The following is a 22,830-nucleotide window of genomic DNA, read 5'->3' as shown; positions in this document are numbered from 1 at the left end:
TCCACAGAGCAGAAAACCTCAAAGAGTTAAGAGATGACTTCTGTCACCACTGAAGAGATCAGTGATCCTGAGCACCTGCAACAGGCTAAGGATCTGGGTCTTTCCCAGGCAGGGACCACTGCTGGAGGAACAGACAACCCGCAGAGTGGGTTTTCAGATTATTTTCTGCAAAGATTATAGCAATTCACACTCTTAGCAATCGGTGTGTATTTCCCTTTTTAATTTTTGATGATCTGAATGGGTAAAAAAATTGATTAACCTATTGTTGCTTTAATTTATATTTTCCTAGTAGCAAGGTTGGTCATCTCGTCATATTGGCCATTTGAATTTTCTCTTTTACATGAACTGTCTAATTCATAACTTTTGCTCATTTTGTTTTAAAACAATGGATAAGCTCCACAGAGTTTTTTTCTAATCAAATTTCCAAAATTTTAATTCAATCTGGATTCCTTTGAGTTTTGTTTCAAAACTGCAATTTTTTTTTTTTTTTGAGACGGTCTCACTCTATTGCCCAGACTGGAGCGCAGTGGTGCAATCCTGGCTCACCGCAACCTCCACCTCCCAGGCCTAAGAAATTCTCCCACCTCAGCCTCCCAAGTAGCTGGGACTACTACGCCACTACGCCTAGCTAATTTTCACACTTTTGTAGAGACTGAGTCTATGTTGCCCAGACTGTACAAATTTTTTAATAGACAATTAAAAATTGTATGTATTTATTGATTACAATGCAATGTTTTAAAATACATATACATTATGGAATGGCTCAATCAGCCTAATTAACATATGCACTACCTCACTTATATAATACATTGTTATTAACTACAGTCACCATGCTGTACAACAGATTTCTCAACTTATTCCTCATATCTAACTGAAATTTTATCTCCGTTGTTAATATCTTCCCAATTCTCCCCTGCCCTCCGACCCTGGTAACTACTGTTCTACTCCCTGCTTCTATGAGTTTGACTTTTTCAGATTCCATACGTAAGTGAGAATATGCAGTTTTTCTCTTTCTGTGCCTCACTTATTTCACTTAACATAAATGCCCTCCAGATTCAACCATGTTGTTGCGAACGACAGGATTTCCTTCTTTTTAAAGCTGAATACTATTCGATTGTGTATATACACATTTTCTTTATCCACTCACCTGCTGATGGGCACTTAGGATGATTACGTATCTTGGCTATCGTAAATAATGCTGCAATGAATATGTAAGTGCAGGCATTTCTTCAACATAACTGATTTCATTTTCGTTGAATATATACCTGGTAAAGGGACTGCTGCATCATATGGTAGTTCTGTTTGTGATTTTTTTGAGGCATCTCTGCATTGTTTTCCATAATGGCTGCACTAACTTACATTCCCAGCAACAATGCGCTGGGTTCCCTTTCCTCCACATCCTTGGCAACCCTTATCTTTTGACTTTTTGGTACTAGCCATCCTAACAAGTGTGAAGTGATATCTCATCGTGCTTTTAATTTGCATTTCCCTGATGATCAGTCATGCTGAGCATTTTTTCATATACCTGTTGGCAATCTGTATGTCTTCTTTTGAGAAATGTCTATTCAGGTCCTTTACCCACTTTTTAATCGAGCATTTGCCTTCCTGCTACATAAGGAGCTGAGTTCCTTACACAGTTTGGATATTATCCCCTTATCAGATGTACGGTTGGTAATATTTTCTCCCCTTACATAAACTGTCTCTTCACTCTGTTGATTGCCCATTTTTCTATTCAGTTATTGTTTTGTTCTCAATTTACAAGAGCTCTTTCAAGATTAGCAGTTTTAACCATTTCACTGTCATACAGAATGTAAACTTCTCCCTCAGTCTTTTTCGTTTGTTCATGTTAGCTGGGTTCTTCTTAATCGGAAGTTGAAATAATAGTCCTGGGGGCCAGACGCAGTGGTTCACACCTGTAATCCCAACATTTTGGGAGGCTGAGGTGGGCAGATCACATGGCGCCGGGAGTTTGAGACCAGCCTGGCCAACATGGCAAAACCCTGTCTCTACTAAAAATTTAAAAATTAGCTCAGCGTGGTGGTGCACATCTGTAATCCCAGCTACTCGGGAGGCTGAGGGACGAGAATCGCCTGAACCCAGGAGGTGGAGGTTGCAGTGAGCCGAGATTGTGCCACTGCACTCCAGCCTGGGTGACAGAGCAAGACTCAGTCTCAAACAAACAAAAAAAAAAATTGGGGGATCTTTATTTCATGCTTTCTCTCATTAAGAAAAGAGAGGACAATAAAGTGTTAGAAGATAATAAAGCACAGAAGTCTAGCCAGTGTCTTTGGAAAATGAAACGGCTGTGTGAATTTTTTATCTTTTGGCACCTCTTTTAAAAACTCCACTTAATGACCTACCTGCATTACTGAAGTGTCTCTTGTTGGGGTGATTGTAGTTATCTCTTGGGTGTCCATGCATCTGTGGGCCATGGGAGGCAGGCAAATGAGGCTTCTGAGGGTGAAGGTTGTGTGAGGTATGGGACTGAGATATCAGAGAGTCCCGGCTGGAGCCTGAGGCCTCTGGACGAAATGGTTTCTTACCCCCAGTCACGTCGTCTTTCTTCTTTTGCTCCTAAAGAGTAAAAGGAAACCAAAGAAGCTCAAGATCCCAGGCTTAATTCCCCAGAGAAGAATAAAGGCTATCACCTCTAAACAGCTCCTTCTTGTCCTTCTTAAACTTCTGAACTGGCGTTTACTACCTCCTAACAAAAAAAAGGCTCATAAATTCCACTGTTAGGCTATTTGCTGGGGGAACTCAGTGGAATTTATGCTGAGTTTGACCATTACTGCTAAGTACCTGCAAGAACACATGCATAGACTGCTAGATGTCACTGTACAGGGTATGGTGTAGGCGCCCAGGCTGGCGGCACTCTCAGAGGATCATCCTGGACCATGTAAAACCAAGACTACCAACTTTCCAAGGCTAACCACAACAAACAACCCTCGACTGTCCAGTGGGAACTAACTCCTATGCCCAAGTCATCAAGCTAAATATCTGAATGTTGGAGTAACATTACTCCTTATCACACAAGTCAAATGTTTGATATAAAAAAAATCACACAATAAAAAAAATAAAGTGACCCAAATCCTAACCAGCAAGGGAATTACTGTTAATAATTTGGCACGTATTTTTCTAAGCTTTTTTTTGTAGTTATATTTTAAACAAAAATATTTGGTATTCATTTTTCACTTCATGTATTGTGAAAATCTTTCCATGTAAATACTTATTTCTACAATATTATGTTTAATAACTGATTAATACTCCCCAATATGGATATATCATGAACTACTGAATGTTTTTGTTTTCTGTATTTTTTTTTTTTTTTTTTTTTTTTTTTTGAGACAGAGTCTCACTCTGTCGCAGGCATTCAGTGATGCCATCTCAGCTCACTGCTACCTCCACCTCCTGGTCTCATGCGATCCTCCCACTTCAGCCTCCTGAGGGGCTGGGGCTACAGGCATGTGCCACCACACCCAGCTAATATTTGTAGTTTATGTAGAGATGAGGCTTCATCACGTTGGCCAGGCTGGTCTCGAACTCTCGGCCTCAAGTGATCCACCCGCCTCAGCCTCCCAAAGTGCTGGGATTACAGGCACGAGCCACCGCGCCTAGCCACATTGAATGTATTTCTTACTGTTGGGCTTCCAAGCCATTTCCATTATAAACATGTTTAAATCTCTATCTCCTTCTCAAAACTAAATTCCTGGAAGCAAAACTGCATGCTTTAGTCTTTTAATAAATCTTGCTGAATTCTCCTCCAGAAAGGTTGTGACAATGTATACTCCCACTAGTAGGATACCACTGTTTTTGTTATTCAGCTTATACTGTTTTGTTATTCATTCTGATCCCTAAATGAATGAAGTCTTTCATGATTATGTGTCCAACTTCAGACCCTCTTCCTAATTTTCACTCCCTTCTAAAGGGCCTTTCCTAACTATTTCATTCCCTCCTGGGGCCTTTCCGGACTATCCATTTATAGACTTTTTATAATGCTTATTAGTATATGATTCCTGTATGTTACTGCTATAACATATTCTTCCATGTAAAATTAAATCATCAACTACTTGAGGGTGCTGCTTCACAGGCCAACACAGCACTGGGCACAGCATAACAAATACTCCTGAGTGCTTCCCTGTCCCCAGCACCATTCTATTCCATTCTATGTGCTGAGAACACAGCAGTAGATGAGAGACATAAAATCTCTGTCTTCATGGAGCTGACGCATTAGTGGAGGTGGTATTTAATGCTCACAGATTGAACTCAATGTCCAACTTGGGTACAGCCCATGTGGCAAGTCAGCAGATCTGCAAATGGGCACACCCACACAAGGAGCACTGCCTCTGCAGCCTCCTCCATGTCACTTCTGCACCCATCCCCCTATTCCAAAGGAGAGGCAACTTCTGAGCACCTCTCACAAGTGAGTAGCAGGACCCCTTCCATACAAAAGCTGGAAGGACACCAAATAGATGGTCCAGAAAAGAAGAGAAAAAGTATTTTCTGCCCACCACCCTATTACTTCCTAGGAGCCACATTTATAAGCTACTGACATGTACAGAAGAAAAATGCAAATGGAAGAAAAAACCTGGTGAACAAATGATTTTAGGACCTAAAAACACAGGGTAAACACTCTTTGTCAGAATTTCAACCATGTTAGGCTCCAATACATTGGCTATTTCACCCATCTGGTCTTATTGTTTGACTATTAGCACCAGCAATAACCCATGATTCTGTGATCATCTCCCCATGGAAAAACAAAAATTAAGAGATTTTTCTGTGGAATTGGTATTTGTTTGTATGAATTAGGACTGAATTTGTACTTTACCTCTTCTTCTTGAGACCTTTTCTTATGAGCCATCTTGTATAACTTATGCAGTTTTCGAGCATCAAATTCTGTAAACTTGGAAACAAAAATCCATAGGTTCCTAAAAAGAAAAATGAACAGTTCTGGTGAATTATAGAATTAGAAAAGCAATTTTTTATGATCTTCATGGATGGCAAGCTATTAAATTTTGCTGTGGTATACTCCCTAAGCATAGAAATTAAGCTACAGAAATATTATTTCAGGTATTTGCATTAATAATACAGTAAGTCCTAACTTAATGTTGTCGATAGGTTCTTGGAAATTGCAACTTTAAGGGAAACAAAATCAATTTTTTTTCTCATCAATGTTATAATGAAACAAAGCTGAAGGAAACAACGTTATGTGAGGACTTACCGTACACCTTTACATGGTTCTGCCAAAAGAGTCTGACAGAGGGATTTAGAGACTAAGGCTCTATCAATACCTAGAACTCCTCCAAATTTCTATCAATGACACCCCAGACTCCAGTCCTTTTAAGTTTTCCTTCACTTTCTGGACTCTACCACAAATCCATCAGCACCACCATCTCCCAGGTTGTGGCCTCCATTCAGTTGGTCATCTCTGTGTTGCTGCCCCTCCTTCCTCCCAGTTGTCGCCACCACAACCTTTCATTTCTTCCTTAAAACTCTCAGTGGCTTTTTCCCTCCAATTCCATTATGTTCACCCTAGCATGGTGTTACTGCGCAACAGGGGAATGATATGATGAGACAGGTGTTTAGAAAGAGTAAGCACAGGTAGTCAGAGTGAGCCAGATAAAGGAGTCTCATATCTTCTCAAACTTCCTAACAGGTAGTTTCACCATGGCTTGCTGCTGACAGGACCACCTGTACAGGCTCCCTAACTAGTAAGCCTGCTGCATCAGGTGAAGAGCCATTTACCTTCCTGTCTAAAGCCTCCTATAAAGAGCTTCAGTCTTTTTAGCAAACTGTCTTTAAATCCTGAACACCACCCAGTCCCCTCCCTGTCCCACTTTCAAGCCTTTGCTGAAGCCTGAGAACTCTGTTCATCTCAGCAATTCGACTCAGCTCATGTATGCTCAGTTCAAGTGCACCTGCCTGCCTCTCAGAAGACCTTCCTTCCTGACTACTCTTCACGCACTTCCTTCTCAACACTTCCACTCTATCTGGGCTTGCATTTGCTGCCTCATGACGAACAGTTTCTCCGAGGGCTTACCTTGTACTACTTTTTTGACTTGTAAAGGGCGAGGACCTTATAAACTACTGCTAGCCAAGATCACAGTGCCTGGCACATTTAAAAATGGGTCTGTTCACTGGGATGACCTTTTGCTATCTTCTAATCAGTGTTAAATTTAAAAAGAAGAAAAAAAAAAAAGGCCAGATGCCGCTAGGTAAAGAAAGAAGTTGGTAACAGTGTTAAGCGGAAAAAAAAGTACCATTTTGAAAATTAAATCTTTTCTTTATAGGTGTGAAGCATGCTGTGGACACCATCATGCAGAAGTTTTCTTAAATCCACTTTTCACTCAAAAACCAGTCCTCTGAGATTGGACATATTATACAAAGATAATCACATTATCCATGAACTATATACAAGTTCAAAGTAACTGTGGTTATGTACAAACAAGCACATGTACCCTCTGAGTCTAAAATAAAATAAAAACGAAGTAACTGTGATTAATGGAAAGAGATTTAATGTTACAATTGCCTTTTAGAATTTCCAGCCATGGCTGGGCGCAGTGGCTCATGCCTGTAATCCCAGCATTTCGGGAGGTCAAGGCGGGCGGATCACCTAAGGTCAGGAGCTCGAGACCAGCCTGGTCAACATGATGAAACCCCATCTCTACTAAAAATACAAAAATTAGCCAGGCGTGATGGCAGGCACCTGTAATCCCAGCTACTTAGGAGGCTGAAGCAGGAGAATCTCTTGAACCAGGGAGGTGGAGGTTGCAGTGCCAAGATTGTGCCACTGCACTTCAGCCTGGGCGATAGAGTGAAAGAGTCAGACTCTGTCTCATTTAAAAAAAAAAAAAAAAAAAAATTTCCAGTCATGTTTTCTTAAAATATCCAAAGTGGACAGTGGATATATATCCAGCAATCCCACTACTGGGTATCCACCCAGGGGAAAAGAAGTCATTATATGAAAAAGGCACTTGCACTTACATGTTTATAGCAGCATAATCTGCAATTGCAAAAACATGGAACCAGCCTAAATGCCCATCAACCAACAAGTATATAAAGAAAATGTGGTACATACATACCATGGAATACTACTCAGCCATAAAAAGGAATAAAATAATGGCATTTGCAGCAACCTCAATGGAATTGGAGACCATTATTCTAAGTGAAATAACTCAGGAATGGAAAACCAAACATTGGATGCAAAGGCATAAAAATGATATAACGGACTCTGGGGGGAAGGGGGCTGAGGGATAGAAGATGACACACTGGGTGCAGTGTGCACTGCTCGGGTGATGGGTGCACCAAAATCTCGGAAATCACCACTAAAGAGCTTATCCATGTCACCAAACACCACCTGTTTCCCTAAAACTATTGAAATCTTTTAAAAAAGTTTCAGTGGCTATATAAAGGAACATTTATAAACCATGATGCCTTAAACACTGAAGTTCTAGATTAACTTAATCCAAATTACTACTTTAATTACTAAAAAAGCATATGAGAATAGAGAACTCATAGTTCTTGCGGTTTTAATCTTTGTGTCACCATGTGTTGGTACAGAACCAACCAATTAGTTGTATTAGATACAGTAATATCTGAATATCTGGATATCAACCTGAGATGGGTAAAGTAGTTAAGACCAGATGATTTTTGCCCCTTGTAGGCTTAAAGAAAATTTATTTCTGAGAATAGACCAGCAAATCCAGTAACACTATCTTTCTCTCATAAAATAAATTAATGACATCGTCCTACCCCTTCAAAAGGCTGGTCTCAGTGGAATGGCCTATTTCATGGAAAGGGAGTTAAAGCCTGCAGGTATATTGCCAATAGATGAGTTGTGCTGGGAGAAAGATTTCTTAGGTGGCTATGCCACCTTTTATTAAAAGAAAACAGAATCCACTCCCACACTCAGTCAAATCAAACTGGGCAGACGAGGCCAAAGTGGTTACCTCCTCCAGAGTTTGATGTGCTCCTGATCTGAGTAGGCTTTAAGGCACTCGGCTATCCGGTCTCCGATTTTCAGCAGGCAGTTCCGGGTGTGTTCCAGCTGTTCTTGCACGTTGAGCCCCTTGTCAGGTTTGTCGAGCTGTTTCAGTGCCTTTTTCACGGGCCTCATCCTCTCCTTACACTGCAACAGGACAACAGAGTAAAGACATAAACAATCTGCAGAAAGTAAGTCTTGTCCTTTGCTTACTGTGCTCTCGATGAAAACACAGCCCACCCCTATGCCATATAATTGCTAGAGGAAGAGTGGGTAAAGCTAGTGCAGTGGAGTAAGTGTAAGTATTCAAGTCAGAAAACCCTGAAGTGCAGTGCCAGCACCATCGCTTAGAGTTATGTGATAACCCTTCACGCCTTACTTAACCTCTCTAAATACTGCTTCCTCATCTGCAAGAGAGGCATGGCATGCCTCACAAGCCCATTTTGAAGATCTAATGAGCAGCAGTATTACAGACCTAATCTGAAATTCTCCCACCAGAAACTGTCTAAAAATACGGGATATAATATTTGCAAATCCTTCAGGCTTGAAAGAAAGCAAGAGAAAGGCTTCCAGATAAGATGGTAAACAGAACACAAGCATCTTTTCTCTGCCTCCCCAATCCCACTAAAACAATGGTAAAGGGACTGTCCTTAAAAGAGACAAGCCCACAAAGACAAGAGAAAACAAGAGAGAGGATAATGGCAACAAAATATTGGCAGCACGGGAAATGACAAAACAGACCTGAGAAAATGAAATTCGAAGCCAGGAGGGAAGACAGCCTAGAACTAACCTGACTTACACGGCAAAATTCCCCCAACGGCGAGGTGTCTTCAGAAGGAAGGATGAGGGCTAAAATGGGGAGCGGTTTAAAAACTGCTTAAGAAGTAACACATATCCAGATTCATAAGATACCCAGATCTCTAACTCCAACCAGCAGCAAATATAAAGACTTATTCTCCAGAAAAGGATAAAAGGACCTCTGAGCGGGACTGCACAGGCACAGATGAGGGCTGAGCCCACCACACTGAAAACAGGATTACCTGAGCACATGAGCACAGTCACACAGGATGACCCACACCCAGGTCTCTGCCTCTCACATTCCAGAGTGGATGGAGCCAGGCCTTCACGCTCTGGAGAGTCAGGAAACTGGGGCATTCTTCACAAAATGTGACCGCCCCAGAGGAAACACCAAATGATCCTGACTATCTGTCAGAAGTTTCTGCTACATCATCCTATAATGAAAACTTTCAAAGGAGATCAAGCCCCACCACCCACATGCTCAAACTTCCAATCACATGTTTCGTCCTCCACTCTTAAACATGAGCTGACAACTGAGGGTCAGCAAAGCCACCGAAGCAAAGTGTGTAACGTGAACAATGGAAAGCAAAGAGAAGTATAAAGATATTCGAGAGCGGTGGAGGAAAAAGATCTTGGAAAGAAATAATGTGAAACAAAGTTGAAGCAATCTCCCAGAAAGTAGAGTAAAAAGCAGAAATGAACAACTTAAAAAGTAAAATTAGGGACCAATATCCAGAATTCGATATCCAAACACAAGAAATTCCATAAAGGTAAAACTGGGAACTTAGAGAAAATTACCACCATATAATTCAAGAAAATTTCACAGAATGGTGTAGGGACATGGTTGTCAGCCACTGAGTATCTGGCACAATGAACTAAGTAAGACACATGGTCATGAAATTTTCAAATAATGAAAACTCTACAAATTCCCCATCACTTTGTGGTCATTTCCACAGCTACATACTTATTATTTGTGGATTTTTCTGTGTTATACTTCAATTTTTAAAAAGGACATAAAATAAAAAATATACCAAAAACTAAAAGACACCTGTAATGACTATAAAAAATAAAAGATTAGTATTAAGAATGTAAAAAGAATTCCTACAGAAAAGGTAAGAAAGATAAATTATTCCAAATATGTCAATTTTGAATAACTGAATAGGCAATTCACAAGGAACATGAATGACCACTAAAATATGAAAATAAATGTCCAACGACCTTCAGTCAGTATTTCATAGTCCTCAGATTAGCAAAAATTAACAACTGTTAACTGAGTCAGAAATTAACAACTGTTTCTAAGGCTGGTCAGCAATCAGAACTTGAATTCATTGCTATAATTCATGCAATCTCTACAACTGCTTTCAAGAGGAACTCGAGTATCTAATAAAGTGGCAGATGTGTACACCTAATGAATGACCCACCATTTTTGCTCAAGCCATACACCCTAGAGAAGTTCTCACTTGTGTAGTGCAAGAAAATATGGGCAACAATTTCACTGTAGCCTATTTGTAGTAGCAAACATTTGGAAAAATCCTGATGTCCACCAATACGGGAAAAAATTAAACTGTGGAAGAATAAATTGTAGAATAACATGAAACTTAAATGACAGCCACAATTATTAATATAGATAAATCTCAACAAATGTGACTGCTGTGAGAGGAAAAGCAAGTTACAGGATACACAAGTGCCAATTACAGTTTTAAGACATGGAAATCAATCCTCTATGTTGTTTATATGTGGGAGGCTACGTAGGACAATGGTTATGGACCCAACCTCTCATGCCGAACTGCCTGGGTCAAAACTGTGTTCTATGTCTTAGCTGTGTGACACAGGGCAAATCACTTAACTCTCTTCACCTTATTTTTAAATATGTAAAATGGAAACACTAACGTACCTCACAGGAGTGTTGTGGAAAAAATATATATAAAGCACATAAACAGTAACTGGCTATTAATGTGAGCTATTATCATCTTTACAGACTTAAGCAGTAAAACTCTAGAACCACACGTTAAGTATAAACATCGAATTCAGAATCATGGTTACGTCTGGGAGGTAAGAGAGAGAGAAAAGGCCGGGTGCGGTGGCTCACGCCTGTAATCCCAGCATTTTAGGAGGCTGAGGTGGGCAGATCATGAGGTCAGGAGTTCTAGACCAGCCTGACCAACATGGTGAAACCTCATATCTACTAAAAATACAAAAGTTAGCCGGGTGTGGTGGTGCGCATCTGTAATCCCAGCTACTCAGGAGGCTGAGGCAGGAGAACTGCTTGAACCGGAGAGGCAGAGGCTGCACTGAGCCGAGATTGAGCCACTGCAATCCAGCCTGGGCAACAGAGCAAGACTCTGCCTCAAAAAAAAAAAAAAAAAAAAGAGAGAGAGAGACAGAAAAAGCATAGGTTGAGAGGGAGGAACACCAAGGGATTCAGCTTTATATTTTGAGTCTTAAAAAAATTCAGATTTGACAAAACTTCATGGTATATTTATCAATGACTATTATATCCCTGAAATTTCTCTGCATCTTTTAAAGATTTCATAATATAAAAACAAGATTAAATGAGTCATTTGTAAGAGCATTTTTTAAATATCATGGTACCATAGAACATTAGATATCATTTTCTCTTATAAACACTCGGAAAAGAAAGACTAGGAAACAGATTGGTTAGCTGGCTATGTAATTAGTTTATTCATTTATTCAATTTACTCATTTATTGATATACTTCTAGCATCTAAATGACCTTTATATAAAACAATACTTGTCCTCAGAGAGCTCACAGGCAAAAAAGAGACTTAAGAAAACAGAGTTAAGTGCAAAGAAAACAATATCTATATACATACGTGTATAGGTTTTAGAGAACTCAGAGAAAGAAGTCAGAGAGAGGTTACAGGACAGGGTCAACAGGGTCCTTTGCTGCCACAGGATGGAAGTATTTTCAAATTTGAAAGAAAACCGCTTTTTCTTTCAGCCTGAATGAGCCGTTTGATTAATGGATTTGTGGAAGTATGGGGAGAAGAGACCACAGAGAGGTGGGGAAGGGATGGTGGCACAGTGAAATCTATACCTGCAGCTCCAGCCAGGGGCAAAGGGACCTTGAGGACACACTGGCCTGTATCCAATCCCGTGCAAGACCTGGTCCATGCACTCGCTCCCCATCGCCTTGCCCTCCCCTCTTCTCCTGTTACCTTTTATTCTTCCTTCAGAACCCAACTCAAACATCACTTCCTTACACAAGCCCTCCTGGCAACCCCTGACTAGGTCAAATTCCCTTCTCACAGGATCTCCACAGTATGCACTCTCTCTCCTCCAGAGCCCTGTCACAGGGGCACCAACATGATTTGTGTAGTTATCTAACTCCCCTACTCCAATGTACAGTTTACGATGATAGAAATGGTTATCTATTCAACATGGTAACTCTGGGGGCTGGAACACAGAAAACATTCAATAAATACTTGCTCAGTGAACACTTCTCTTTCCCAAATGCCTCTAAGGGCCCTGAGAGCCTCTCTTAACTAGGAGCACAAGACATGAAATCCACTCCTTAAACTTCCCCTCAATAAAAGACAAGAAAATCTCTTCCTGCCAGCCTGCTGAAGAGCACATGGTCTTCCGATACTGTAAGCAATGTGTTTCCCAAGTAATGTACTATTGCTTAGCTCAACTGAAGCTCTGGCTGGACCTATAAAAGGCAGAGCCACAGCAAGTACCGCGGCTGCAGACACTGGCACCCCCCGATTTCAAGACTTACTATGCTGAATGTCTCCTGGTCCAGATCATCATCCTCATCCTCTCCAATGGGGACAGGTTCACTTCCTGCTGTAATATGGACAGGACCCTGAGATCGCTTTGATTTACTCGAAGATTTGGCATCACCACTTTTAGGCTTTTAAAAAAGAGTTACAAGGAGTCATTGTCATTTGTGCAATCCTACCGTGCGATTTAGGTTTCTTACCTATGTTGTGTTATTAAAATGGGTAAATATGATGGTCTCAGTTTATTTTTTAAAAAGTAAAATAAAATCCTGAAACATCATGAAGACAAACCTGTCTGATTAGCAGCTTACTCACACATTATTCCCATTTCCATCTCTAAATGTACCCAATTATAACTTCAATTTCATCAGTGCTATTTTTGGGCTTCTTACTCCTTTATCCATAAAATGCACAGAAATGTCATCAAGAGGTTAAGCTTGTAAATTGGCAGAACTCTCTAGAGTATCATGTAGCAACCTTTATTAACAGCATACCCTTTGGTTTAGGAATCTGTATTAACTACATTATTGTAAATGAACTCTATACAAATCTCAATTACATTGAAGGAAAGGTTGCAGAAGAATATATAAAATGACTTCAGGTACTTTTTTTTTTTTTTTTTTTGAGACAGATTCTCGCTCTGTCATCCTGGCCGGAGTGCAGCGTCATGATCTCGGCTCACTGCAACCTCTGCCTCCTGGGTTCAAGAGATTCTTCTGCCTCAGCCTCCCAAGTAGCTCAGATTACAGGCGCACGCCACCACACCCAGCTATTTTTTGTATTTTTAGTACAGACGGGGTTTCACCATGTTGTCCAGGCAGGTCTCAAACTCCTGACCTTGTGATCTGTCCACCTCGGCCTCCCAAAGTGCTGGGATTACAAGTGTGAGCCACTGCGCCTAGCTTGACTTCATGTACATTTTTAAGCATACAGTATGCTTTGTTTATAGTTATATGGATATACACTATAATATGTACTACAAATATAAAAACATGAACAGGAAGGTTTCGGACCCACTTCACAGTAGTGGTTATGGGGAAAACAGAGGAAGAGTAATAAAATCAGGGAAAGGGAACAGGGGGCAGCTTCAACAGTATCAGTCATATGTTCATGAAATACAAAAGATATCAGCGTCTCCCCCCGCCTGGCCCCGCCAAAAAAAAAAAAAAAGCCACTTAAAGTAAACATGAAAAAATATTAACAACAGTTGTGGTATCTGGAGAGTGGATAAACAGATGTTTGCTAAAATTGCTCTTTTTTTATTTTTTTAATATTTTACTTTAAGAAAAATAATGTCTTTCTGTGGGAGCACAAATGCACAGGTTATTTATCACAGTATGGTCTATTAACATCAAAAATTAGAAAGTATTTCAAAATGGGAAATTCAAATTGCTTCTAACATGTTACACCCAAACAGAATCCTCCCCAACTATTAAAAATGATTTTTTTTTTTTTTTTTTTGAGACAAGGTCTTCCTCTGTTGCCCAAGCTGGAGTGAAGTGTGACACAACCATGGCTCACTGCAGCCTCGAGCTCCTGGGCCTAAGCAATCCTCTCACCTCTGCCTCCCATGCAACTGGGCCCGTAGGCACATGCCGCAATGCCCAGCTAGATTTTTGCTTGTTTTTATTTTGTAGAGACGAGGTCTCCCTACGTTGCCAAGGCTGTAAAAATGACTTTAACATTTAATCACTTGGAAAGTTGTGATATACTGCTAAGTGAGGAGGAAAAACTACCCAAACAGCCTAATCTGATTTTTATATTTGTTCTTAAATAGAAGTTTATTTTATATTTAATATAAAATTTCAAAGTAAAAGTTTCAAAGGCACTTATCAAGAAATCTATTAGAGTTATCAACTGGATATTAGAATTACAGCAGTTGTTTGTGTTTTGGCAATGATTTTACTGTGTTCAGAGGTCAGCAAGTATACACTGCAACACTGTACCAAATTCTTTGGTTTAGAATGAACTTCATAAAACCCCTAATGTAAAGGTTATAATAGCAAGGCTTTTCATCCATTTATATTCCAATAACTCTTGCTAATATTTGTTTTTGACTCAAACTCTTCAAGTATTCAAATTCAGTTGTGGATTGTGCTCCTCTAATATGAATCTGAGAACGTATTTCGTATTTACATGTAAATGCCGATTTCTCTCACCTGTCCTATCTCATTCAAACATTTCCCCCTGAAATATGTCATAAAAGACCAAGTAAAGGCCTTCTTTTTTAAAGAACACCCCAAACTTGCAGGTTCCCCTCTCTCTGCAAGGACAGGTGCAGGTATCCCATCAACGGCCCCACCCATCCTTCTTGAACATACCCATAAAAAGACAATTATTCCAGGGCCCTCAAATCTCATTCTACTTCTAAATCCAAATGGCGAATTGCAAAGGCTGTGGATATCTGCATGAACAGAAGGGCATCATTACCTTCTCTTTCTTATCTTTTGACTTCTTTCTTTCCTTGTCCCCTTCTTTGTCTTTCCTAGAACTCATTTGTTTCTCCTTGTTCTCCTTGTTCTCTTTCTTCTTCTGTTTTTTTTTCATTGGACTTTTTTCCAAGCCATCATCCTAGGAAACAAAACAGGGCTATGAATTTTTGCTACAAATTTTATATCTACTTATGTACTTTCTGGAAAAAGAAGCACTGCCCCCAGTGGTTCATCACTGTCTATACTTAGAAGCTTGTTTTCAAGCAAATAGCCTCAAGGGACTCAGAGAAGTCTAAACTTTCCAGTAATAACCAGTTACAACTGTAGAGGCAGAAGCTCTTTACTGATATCCTCTCATTTAATTCTCATAGCAACCCTTCAACGTAAGTTTATTATTCTCATTTCACGGATGGAAACTGAGTACCAAAGAGATTATATACCTATACAAAGTCAGCTAATAACTGATTAGGTTGCTAGTATTTAAATGTACGTATGTATTGGCCAGGCACAGTGGCTCATGCTCATAATTCCAGCACTTTGGGAGGCTGAGGCAGACCTGTCACCTGAGGTCAGGAGTTTGACACCAGCCTGGCCAACATGGTGAAACCCTGTCTCTTCTAAAAATACAAAAACTAGCCAGGTGTGGTGGCAGGTGCCTGTAATCCTAGCTATTTGGGAGGCTGCGGCAGGAGAATCACTTGAACCCAGGAGGTGGAAGCTGCTGTGAGCCCAGATCGCGCCACTGCACTCTACCCTGGGTGACAAAGCAAGACTCCATCTCAAAAAGCAACTCATAATAAATAAATAAATATCTGTATGTATGACTCAAATCCATGCTAGTTCCTGTACACACTGCTGATCCTCTTGGAGCTAATATCCAAGTACAATTACACTCTCAGAAATTCCATAAAGTTGTCACTGAAATAGCACACTAAATGATACCAACTTACTATTCACTTTACTTAGACCAGAGGTTACAAACTGGCAAGCCAAACCTGACCCACAGGAGTTTTGTTAACAGAACTCCATAGCAGCTGCCCCCTTTACATTAGGCATGAGCTCTCTGGTTAACCACAGTCCTGACCACTCCCCGTCATTTGCAAGAATGAGGCTACGTGTCAATCGCCATTTATCATTAAAACTTTAGGACGGGCGCGGTGACTCACGCCTGTAATCCCAGCACTTTGGGAGGCCGAGGCAGGAAGATCACCTGAGGTCAGGAGTTTTGAGACCAGCCTGGCCAACATGGTGAAACCCCATCTCTACTTACAATACAAAAATGAGCCTGGCGTGGTGGCAGGTGCCTGTAATCCCAGCTACTTGGGAGGTTGAAGCAGGAGAATTGCTTGAACCTGGGAGGCAGAGATTGCAGCGAGCCAGGATTGTGCCATTGCACTCCAGCCTCGCGGACAAGAGCGAGACTTCATCTCAAAAACAAACAAACAAACAACAACAACAAAAATGTCATAGTCCCCTTCATTTACTTCCATTATGTACAAATTTGCAGTTGCTGACTTAAACTATCCTCGCTGACAGATTAAGCGAAGACTTACATATTCTATTTCCATTTAATCCACTCGTAAACCAAACACATTTCAGATGATTTTATTCCAGCTGGCATGATAAGTATAGCTAAAATAAATAAATAACCCTCAACCGAAACCCCACTTCATACTTTCACTTCTCCCTCTTCTGATGGATTATCTGAATGCCTAGGAGATGAAAGCTCAATTCCATGCTCCTCTTTCAGCCTGGGCACTTTGTTTTCCTTCTTTACCCGAGGCTTCCGCTTCTTTAATTTGGCCTGGAAAAGGAGAGAAAATGATGATTAAAATACAAATCAAGACACTCAAAAGCATAACCAAACAACATGATGACTCTTTAAAGCAGTAGCAGCCATATAATTCAAACAAGAAAATTCCAAAGAAATCAAAAGAGTGCAACTCATTTTACCTCACAAGACCAAACCAAAACAAATAAAAACCTATAGGCCTTATACATGGCCTATACCACATTAAAATGTCCATATTCCTTTTTCGTTTTTTTTTCCGAGATGGAGTCTTGCACTGTCACCCAGGCTGGAGTGTAGAGGTGCCATCTTGCCTCACTGCAACCTCTGCCTCCCGGGTTCAAGCGATTCTCCTGCCTCAGCCTCTCGAGTAGCTAAGTGGGACTACAAGCACATGCCACCACCACTGGCTAATTTTTTGTGTGTCTTTAGTAGAAACAGGGTTTCGCCATGTTGGTCAGGCTGGTCTCGAACTCCTGACTTCAGGTGATCCACCCACCTCAGCCTCCCAAAGTGCTGGGATTACAGGTGTGAGCCACCTTGCCAGCCAAAATATCCATATTCCTTAAACCTACTGATTCCACATCTTTGGAATCCATCCTAAAGACACAATTTTTTTTAAAAAAGGAAAATCACTCTGTATACAAAAGTACAAATAAAGATAATATATTAAAGACATAATAGTAACATTAAAAAACCTGAAAGCAAGTTACATATAATAAGGAAAAGGTTAAAATACTGTTTATCTGCCTAATCAGATATGATCTGTAACATGATCTAACCTCTGCCTTTCCAGAGCCTAACACATAATATATTGCATACTCAACATATTATATGAAGAATGAGACTTATGACCCTATTACTTGAAAAAAATGAGGTGTGGTATTATGGGTTTTTTTCCTCAAATTTGCTTTGCTTATAATAATACAGGGAAATCAATATAAATGACATAGCTGCAAGAGCACTTAAAGAACATGCACACATGGGCTGCTAGTACAGGGTGTAACTTGTATTTCTTAGCTGGGATTCCATCTTTCTGGGCCTGAACTGAAATTATAAATTGGGGAAACAAAAGGAGATAAAGCTCAGCTGAGTTCACTGAGAATTTAGTTGGTATTTCACACAGCAAGTAAGGTCTAGTTTCTGAATTAACTGTGCATTACAACTGTCCATTTTATCTCTGGGATCCACTATTACAAGAACCACAGAGACAGACAGAACAACAGGCAAACCCACAGGTATTCAATGCAGTAACTGCAACTATGTTCCAAAATTGAGAAAGTAGGATAAAGAAACAGTAACAGTATGTGTGGAATAGTGGGACTGGGGAGCAGAGGATGAATTTGAAGCAACATTTCAGAAGGATGGGTTTGTAAGAAAGCTGCCAAGATGCCGTGGTCTTAAATGAATTTTTTTTTTTTTTTTTTTTTTTTTTTTTTTTTTGAGACGGAGTCTCGCTCTGTTGCCCAGGCCGGAGTGCAGTGGCCCGAACTCGGCTCACTGCAAGCTCCGCCTCCCGGGTTCACACCATTCTCCTGCCTCAGCCTCCTAAGTAGCTGGGATTACAGGCGTGTGCCACCACGCCCGGCTAATTTTTTTGTATTTTTAGTAGAGACGGGGTTTCACCATATTAGCCAGGATGGTCTCAATCTCCTGACCTTGTGATCCGCCCGCCTCAGCCTCCCAAAGTGCTGGGATTACAGGCATGAGCCACTGCGCCAGGCCTAAATGAACATTTCTATTATTACCAAGCAAAGCATCATTACTGGAACCTCAAAAACAAAATATGCCCATGAGAAGGTGACATTCTGTGCAGTGCTCAGAGAGGGCCTCTCTCTTCCTACCTAATTCTGCAGGGTAGGAGCCTCAGGCCCCTGAAAAACAACCAGCTGGCAGCGTACTCACCTCTTCCCCACCTGTCACAGCCCCCTTCTTCTCCAGACCCTTTCTGAGCAGCTTCAACAAGTAATCCGCTCGGGTCTGTAGCTGCTTCCCCTGAGGCTTTTTATCTGTCTCCACCGGCAGAATCTTCAACAAGAAAGGAAGAGAAGCACCCGCCACCACCCACATCCTGGTTAGTGGATCAGGATAAACAGAGACAACAAAAACTGAGCACAGTCCTTTCCCTCCCCAACCACCCAAAATATAGATAAAGCCTCAGATCCTATCTCATGTCCATGGCTCCCAGTCACTGAAAATCCCTCACGAGCCGTTCTCATTTTACAAAATGGGATGGAGAAATCCAGCTCTCCCAATGGCTCCTACCTGTGCTGTTAACAGGGTAGAACAACTCAGGTAGGAGGGGCTTGTGGCTTCATCTGCTAGAGCATCCCAGCCGTCGTGGATTTCCTCCTTCCAGGAGCAGGGAATCCCTGGAGCTAGGTTAAAGCTTCGTTTTAGATTGAAAATGCTTCTTAGAGCATTGCCGGAGAGCACTGAGCTACGCCAGGACATGATCTGTTCCTTGCTACAACAACTGGGTCTCTTGCCAGACTGAATCTGGTCTCAGTGCTTAAGGCAGGGTGCTGTCACCCTCCTAAAACCAGATGGGATGAGCACTGTTGAACTGCCAGGAGCACAACATGGAGCAAATCCTACCAAAATTTGAGCCAGTCAGCCTTCCCTGCTTATAGCTCCAACCATGGCCTTGCTACTTGCAACAGATAGGGTGGGAGGCTCGATTTTGTGGGAGAAGAACAGCCAATGTTTAATTCCATTACAAAGAATACCAAGGTGACATTCAATCTTTACGTGAGGAAGTGAAATATGGTTGTTTCAAATGTACTTTTAAACAAAGGGCCAATAACTAAGGCCAAGGAATGCTTTTATCATTAACAAACTCACCTGGGTATTTATTGTAATGAAATCTGACCTATAATTAAATACCAGAATTTTAAGATTTCTCCTACAGTTTCCCCAAAATTTCACCTGGCTACTGTCTTTTCCCTTTATCTTCATCCGTGAAACAGTGCCACAATCTGCTAAAGATGGAAGTATTTCCAAGAATGACTATACTAATTTCTAATTTGATGCCCCCTCGAAAATAGTTAGAAATAAGTAATCGATATAAAAATATTACACAACAAATCTTCTAGAAATCTCTAGCATGGTAGGGTTACTTACTTTGTCAGTTAATTTAAGCTCTGGGTCTGTTTTAATTAACTCCCAGTTTCCATAGCCATGTTCATAAATCCCCAGCAACAGGCGAGAATCATCTTCCACCCCCCACTCTACATCAAAATGTGCAGCTTTGACACGACAGGTTAAGCAGTATCTAAAGAAAGTTTAAAAACAGGAAGACATTAGAAGAGGGGCCTTTTTGGTATGTTAAAGAAGAGACAGTAAAAATACTATGGAACTACACAAAGTCTAACTTCAAATCTATTTTCTTACGGTACGACCATCTAAGCATGTACACAAAATATACTCACTTTTTTTTTTCTTCAGGGTCCACAGGGATAGATTTATGCAGCATCTCAAACTCCTCTTCATGTTGGATAATGGATTTCACATTAACCTGAACTCCGGATATCTTGATTGTTGGACCTCTCCTTTTCCCTGGTCCTTTTCCTGAAAAATACCAGTTTCACATTAGTTAAATGAAAATCTGCAGAAGTTCCACAGAAAACATGTATCAACGAACCCTGACCTCTTAGTCTCTCTGAATATATCTCTGGCTTATTGTTATTTTGAAGATATAATCTATAAGACAAATTTTTTTCTCAACTAATGTCTGTAAAATAACCTCTGAACATTCAGTCTTTTAAGATTTGGAATTCTTTTTTAATTCACTGATGTTTATAGTTGTATTTTAATCTTCCTGCTTGTTTTATACTACTTTGTTTCCAAATGAACAAAAGTAGATTCTGAGGGTATAATATTAGTGCTGAAGGTTTCTCTTTTTGTTTTCCTACCCATCCCACTAGCGAAGGTCAAAAAACTCTCAAGTGTTTTAAAAATGAACTTGATCTTCACAACACTATTACTGAAAACACATGAGCTTAAGTTCACATCTAACACATGTGAAATGATGAACAAGTGGTGGCTTAAGAAAATTACACTAACCCAGGCGGGCGCGGTGGCTCACACCTGTAATCCTAGCACTTTGGGAGGCTGAGGCAGGCAGATCACGAGGTCAGGAGATCGAGACCATACTGGCTAACACAGTGAAACCCCTTCTCTACTAAAAATACAAAAAAATTAGCCAGGTGTGGTGGTGGGCGCCTGTAGTCCCAGCCACTCGTGAGGCTGAGGCAGGAGAATGGTGTGAACCCAGGAGGCAGAGCTTGCAGTGAGCCGAGATCACACCACTGTGCTCCAGCCTTGGAGATGGAGCGAGACTCCATCTCAAAAAAAAAAAAAAAAAGAAACTTACCCTAACCCAAATTTCAAATTAAAATGATCACAGAAGTAAAAATGAAGCCCCAACCAAATAGTCCAACTTGAAATCCATGAGATAATGCTACCTGTGAGAGGAAAACTCCTTTCAATAGAAAATGGGCAGCACACATGAATAGACACTTTATAGAACAAAATGCAAGTGACCCTTAGAGATGTACAACCTTGTTCGTTAAAAGAAAAATGAAATACCGTTTCTCACCTATCAAACTGGCAAAACTCCAAACGTTTAACAATATATTCTGTTTGTGAGGCTTGTGACAAACATTGTGGCACCAGACTTATGCAGAAGGATTTGGGAATATCGAAGCAAAGTATATACGCATTTTCCCAGGACCCAGCAATCCCACTTCTAGAAATTTATCCCAAAGATATGCTGGCAGAGATATGAAATGGTATATTCATTAGATCATTATTCATTGTGACTTTCTTTATAATAACAAAAGACCGAAAACAACCCAAATATTAAATACTAGGGGGGAAGTGTGAATTGACATCTATCTACATGGTAGAATACTCTGCAACTGTAAAAGGAAAGAGGATGATCTCTACATAATGATATGAATTTATCTCAGTCATGAAAATAAGCAGGTGCAAAAGAGTATGTTCTCTTCTGTGTAAGAAGGAAAATACACACGCACACACACTTAAATTTTAAAAGAAACAATCAAAGATAAACTTACAACTAATAGAAACAGTGACCTATTAAGGAGGAAGAGAAGGCAGCTGGGGAACAAAAAACGAAAACAAGATGCTCCAAATGTACCTTGTTTTATAGTTGTGACTTTGAACCATGTAAATGTTTTTACATAATTAAAAAAATTAAATCGAATCTAAATGAGAAAAGCAGTCCCTAAGTACTGAAAATAAATGAAAACAAAAGAGTCTAACTATATATTAAGGTGGTGGCATTAACCACACAGAGAAAGGAATAACTTTGAATAATTTAAACATATATTTTGACTTTATATTGTTAGTGTGATATATTCTAAGATCAAAAAGAAATGCAAAGAAATCACACTTCGCATTTCAGCATTCTTTTGTTAACAGTAAGATTGGTATTGGTATTTGGAAACATATGTTTGGGATAAAGCAAATATGTAATTATGTTAACATTTTTAGAAACAAAAATTTCAACCTAAGGGAAAAAAGGTATCAATAATCTTCCATTTGATCTAGAAATGTCAGCCTGGATTCAGAATATGCTGAATACCAGTTTACAGGAAATACAGGTGTGAGGAAATAAGTTAATACCAGGAAGAAGCAATCAGCCAGATCCAGAATGTGGACATGCACAAAAAAAAGGGAGACTTTGGGGAGAAGGGACTGTTAAGAAAACAGCTCCACAAGATACTATGAGATAAAAAAGCAAGCACAGAAAAGTGTGCATGCTGTACTACCATTTAAAAGGGAGAAAACATTATTCATTTCTCAAAAGCATCAAGAAGTAACAGGAATACGTTTTTCAGTTTTAAGCCATGTAGATGTATTACTTATTCAAAACAATTACATAGAAAACATACTGTACATTAAACCTAAAGTTTACTTTTGGGTGTATTCTGAATGTTATAAAAGCACATATTCAGATCATTTTGCAAACCATACAAGTTATTTGTCTTTTACAAAAAAGAACATTATCTTAAAATAAGTTTTGACTCTCTTGAAGATATTTTTAAATTATATCAAATT

At 40.1% G+C, this 22,830-nt stretch overlaps 1 protein-coding gene across 1 annotated transcript in view; it reads right to left on the bottom strand.

The window, feature by feature from the left end:
- CHD2 (chromodomain helicase DNA binding protein 2) overlaps nucleotides 1-22,830 on the bottom strand; it is a 127,673-nt gene that overhangs the window by 10,727 nt on the left and 94,116 nt on the right. Inside the window, exons 29-37 of the mRNA NM_001271.4 lie at nucleotides 20,175-20,313; nucleotides 19,867-20,017; nucleotides 18,649-18,771; nucleotides 16,630-16,758; nucleotides 14,953-15,093; nucleotides 12,519-12,653; nucleotides 7,947-8,125; nucleotides 4,826-4,925; nucleotides 2,361-2,574 (exon numbers count right to left, since the gene is read on the bottom strand). Of these exons, the coding sequence (NP_001262.3) occupies nucleotides 2,361-2,574; nucleotides 4,826-4,925; nucleotides 7,947-8,125; nucleotides 12,519-12,653; nucleotides 14,953-15,093; nucleotides 16,630-16,758; nucleotides 18,649-18,771; nucleotides 19,867-20,017; nucleotides 20,175-20,313 (1,311 nt within the window). The remainder of the gene's footprint in view (nucleotides 1-2,360; nucleotides 2,575-4,825; nucleotides 4,926-7,946; nucleotides 8,126-12,518; nucleotides 12,654-14,952; nucleotides 15,094-16,629; nucleotides 16,759-18,648; nucleotides 18,772-19,866; nucleotides 20,018-20,174; nucleotides 20,314-22,830) is intronic.

The sequence above is a fragment of the Homo sapiens genome, chromosome 15, assembly GCF_000001405.40.
Source record: "Homo sapiens chromosome 15, GRCh38.p14 Primary Assembly".
Classification (NCBI taxonomy): domain Eukaryota; kingdom Metazoa; phylum Chordata; class Mammalia; order Primates; family Hominidae; genus Homo; species Homo sapiens.
The sequence above is the reverse complement of the archived record's forward strand: the minus strand, read 5'-3'. Positions and strand labels throughout refer to the sequence as shown.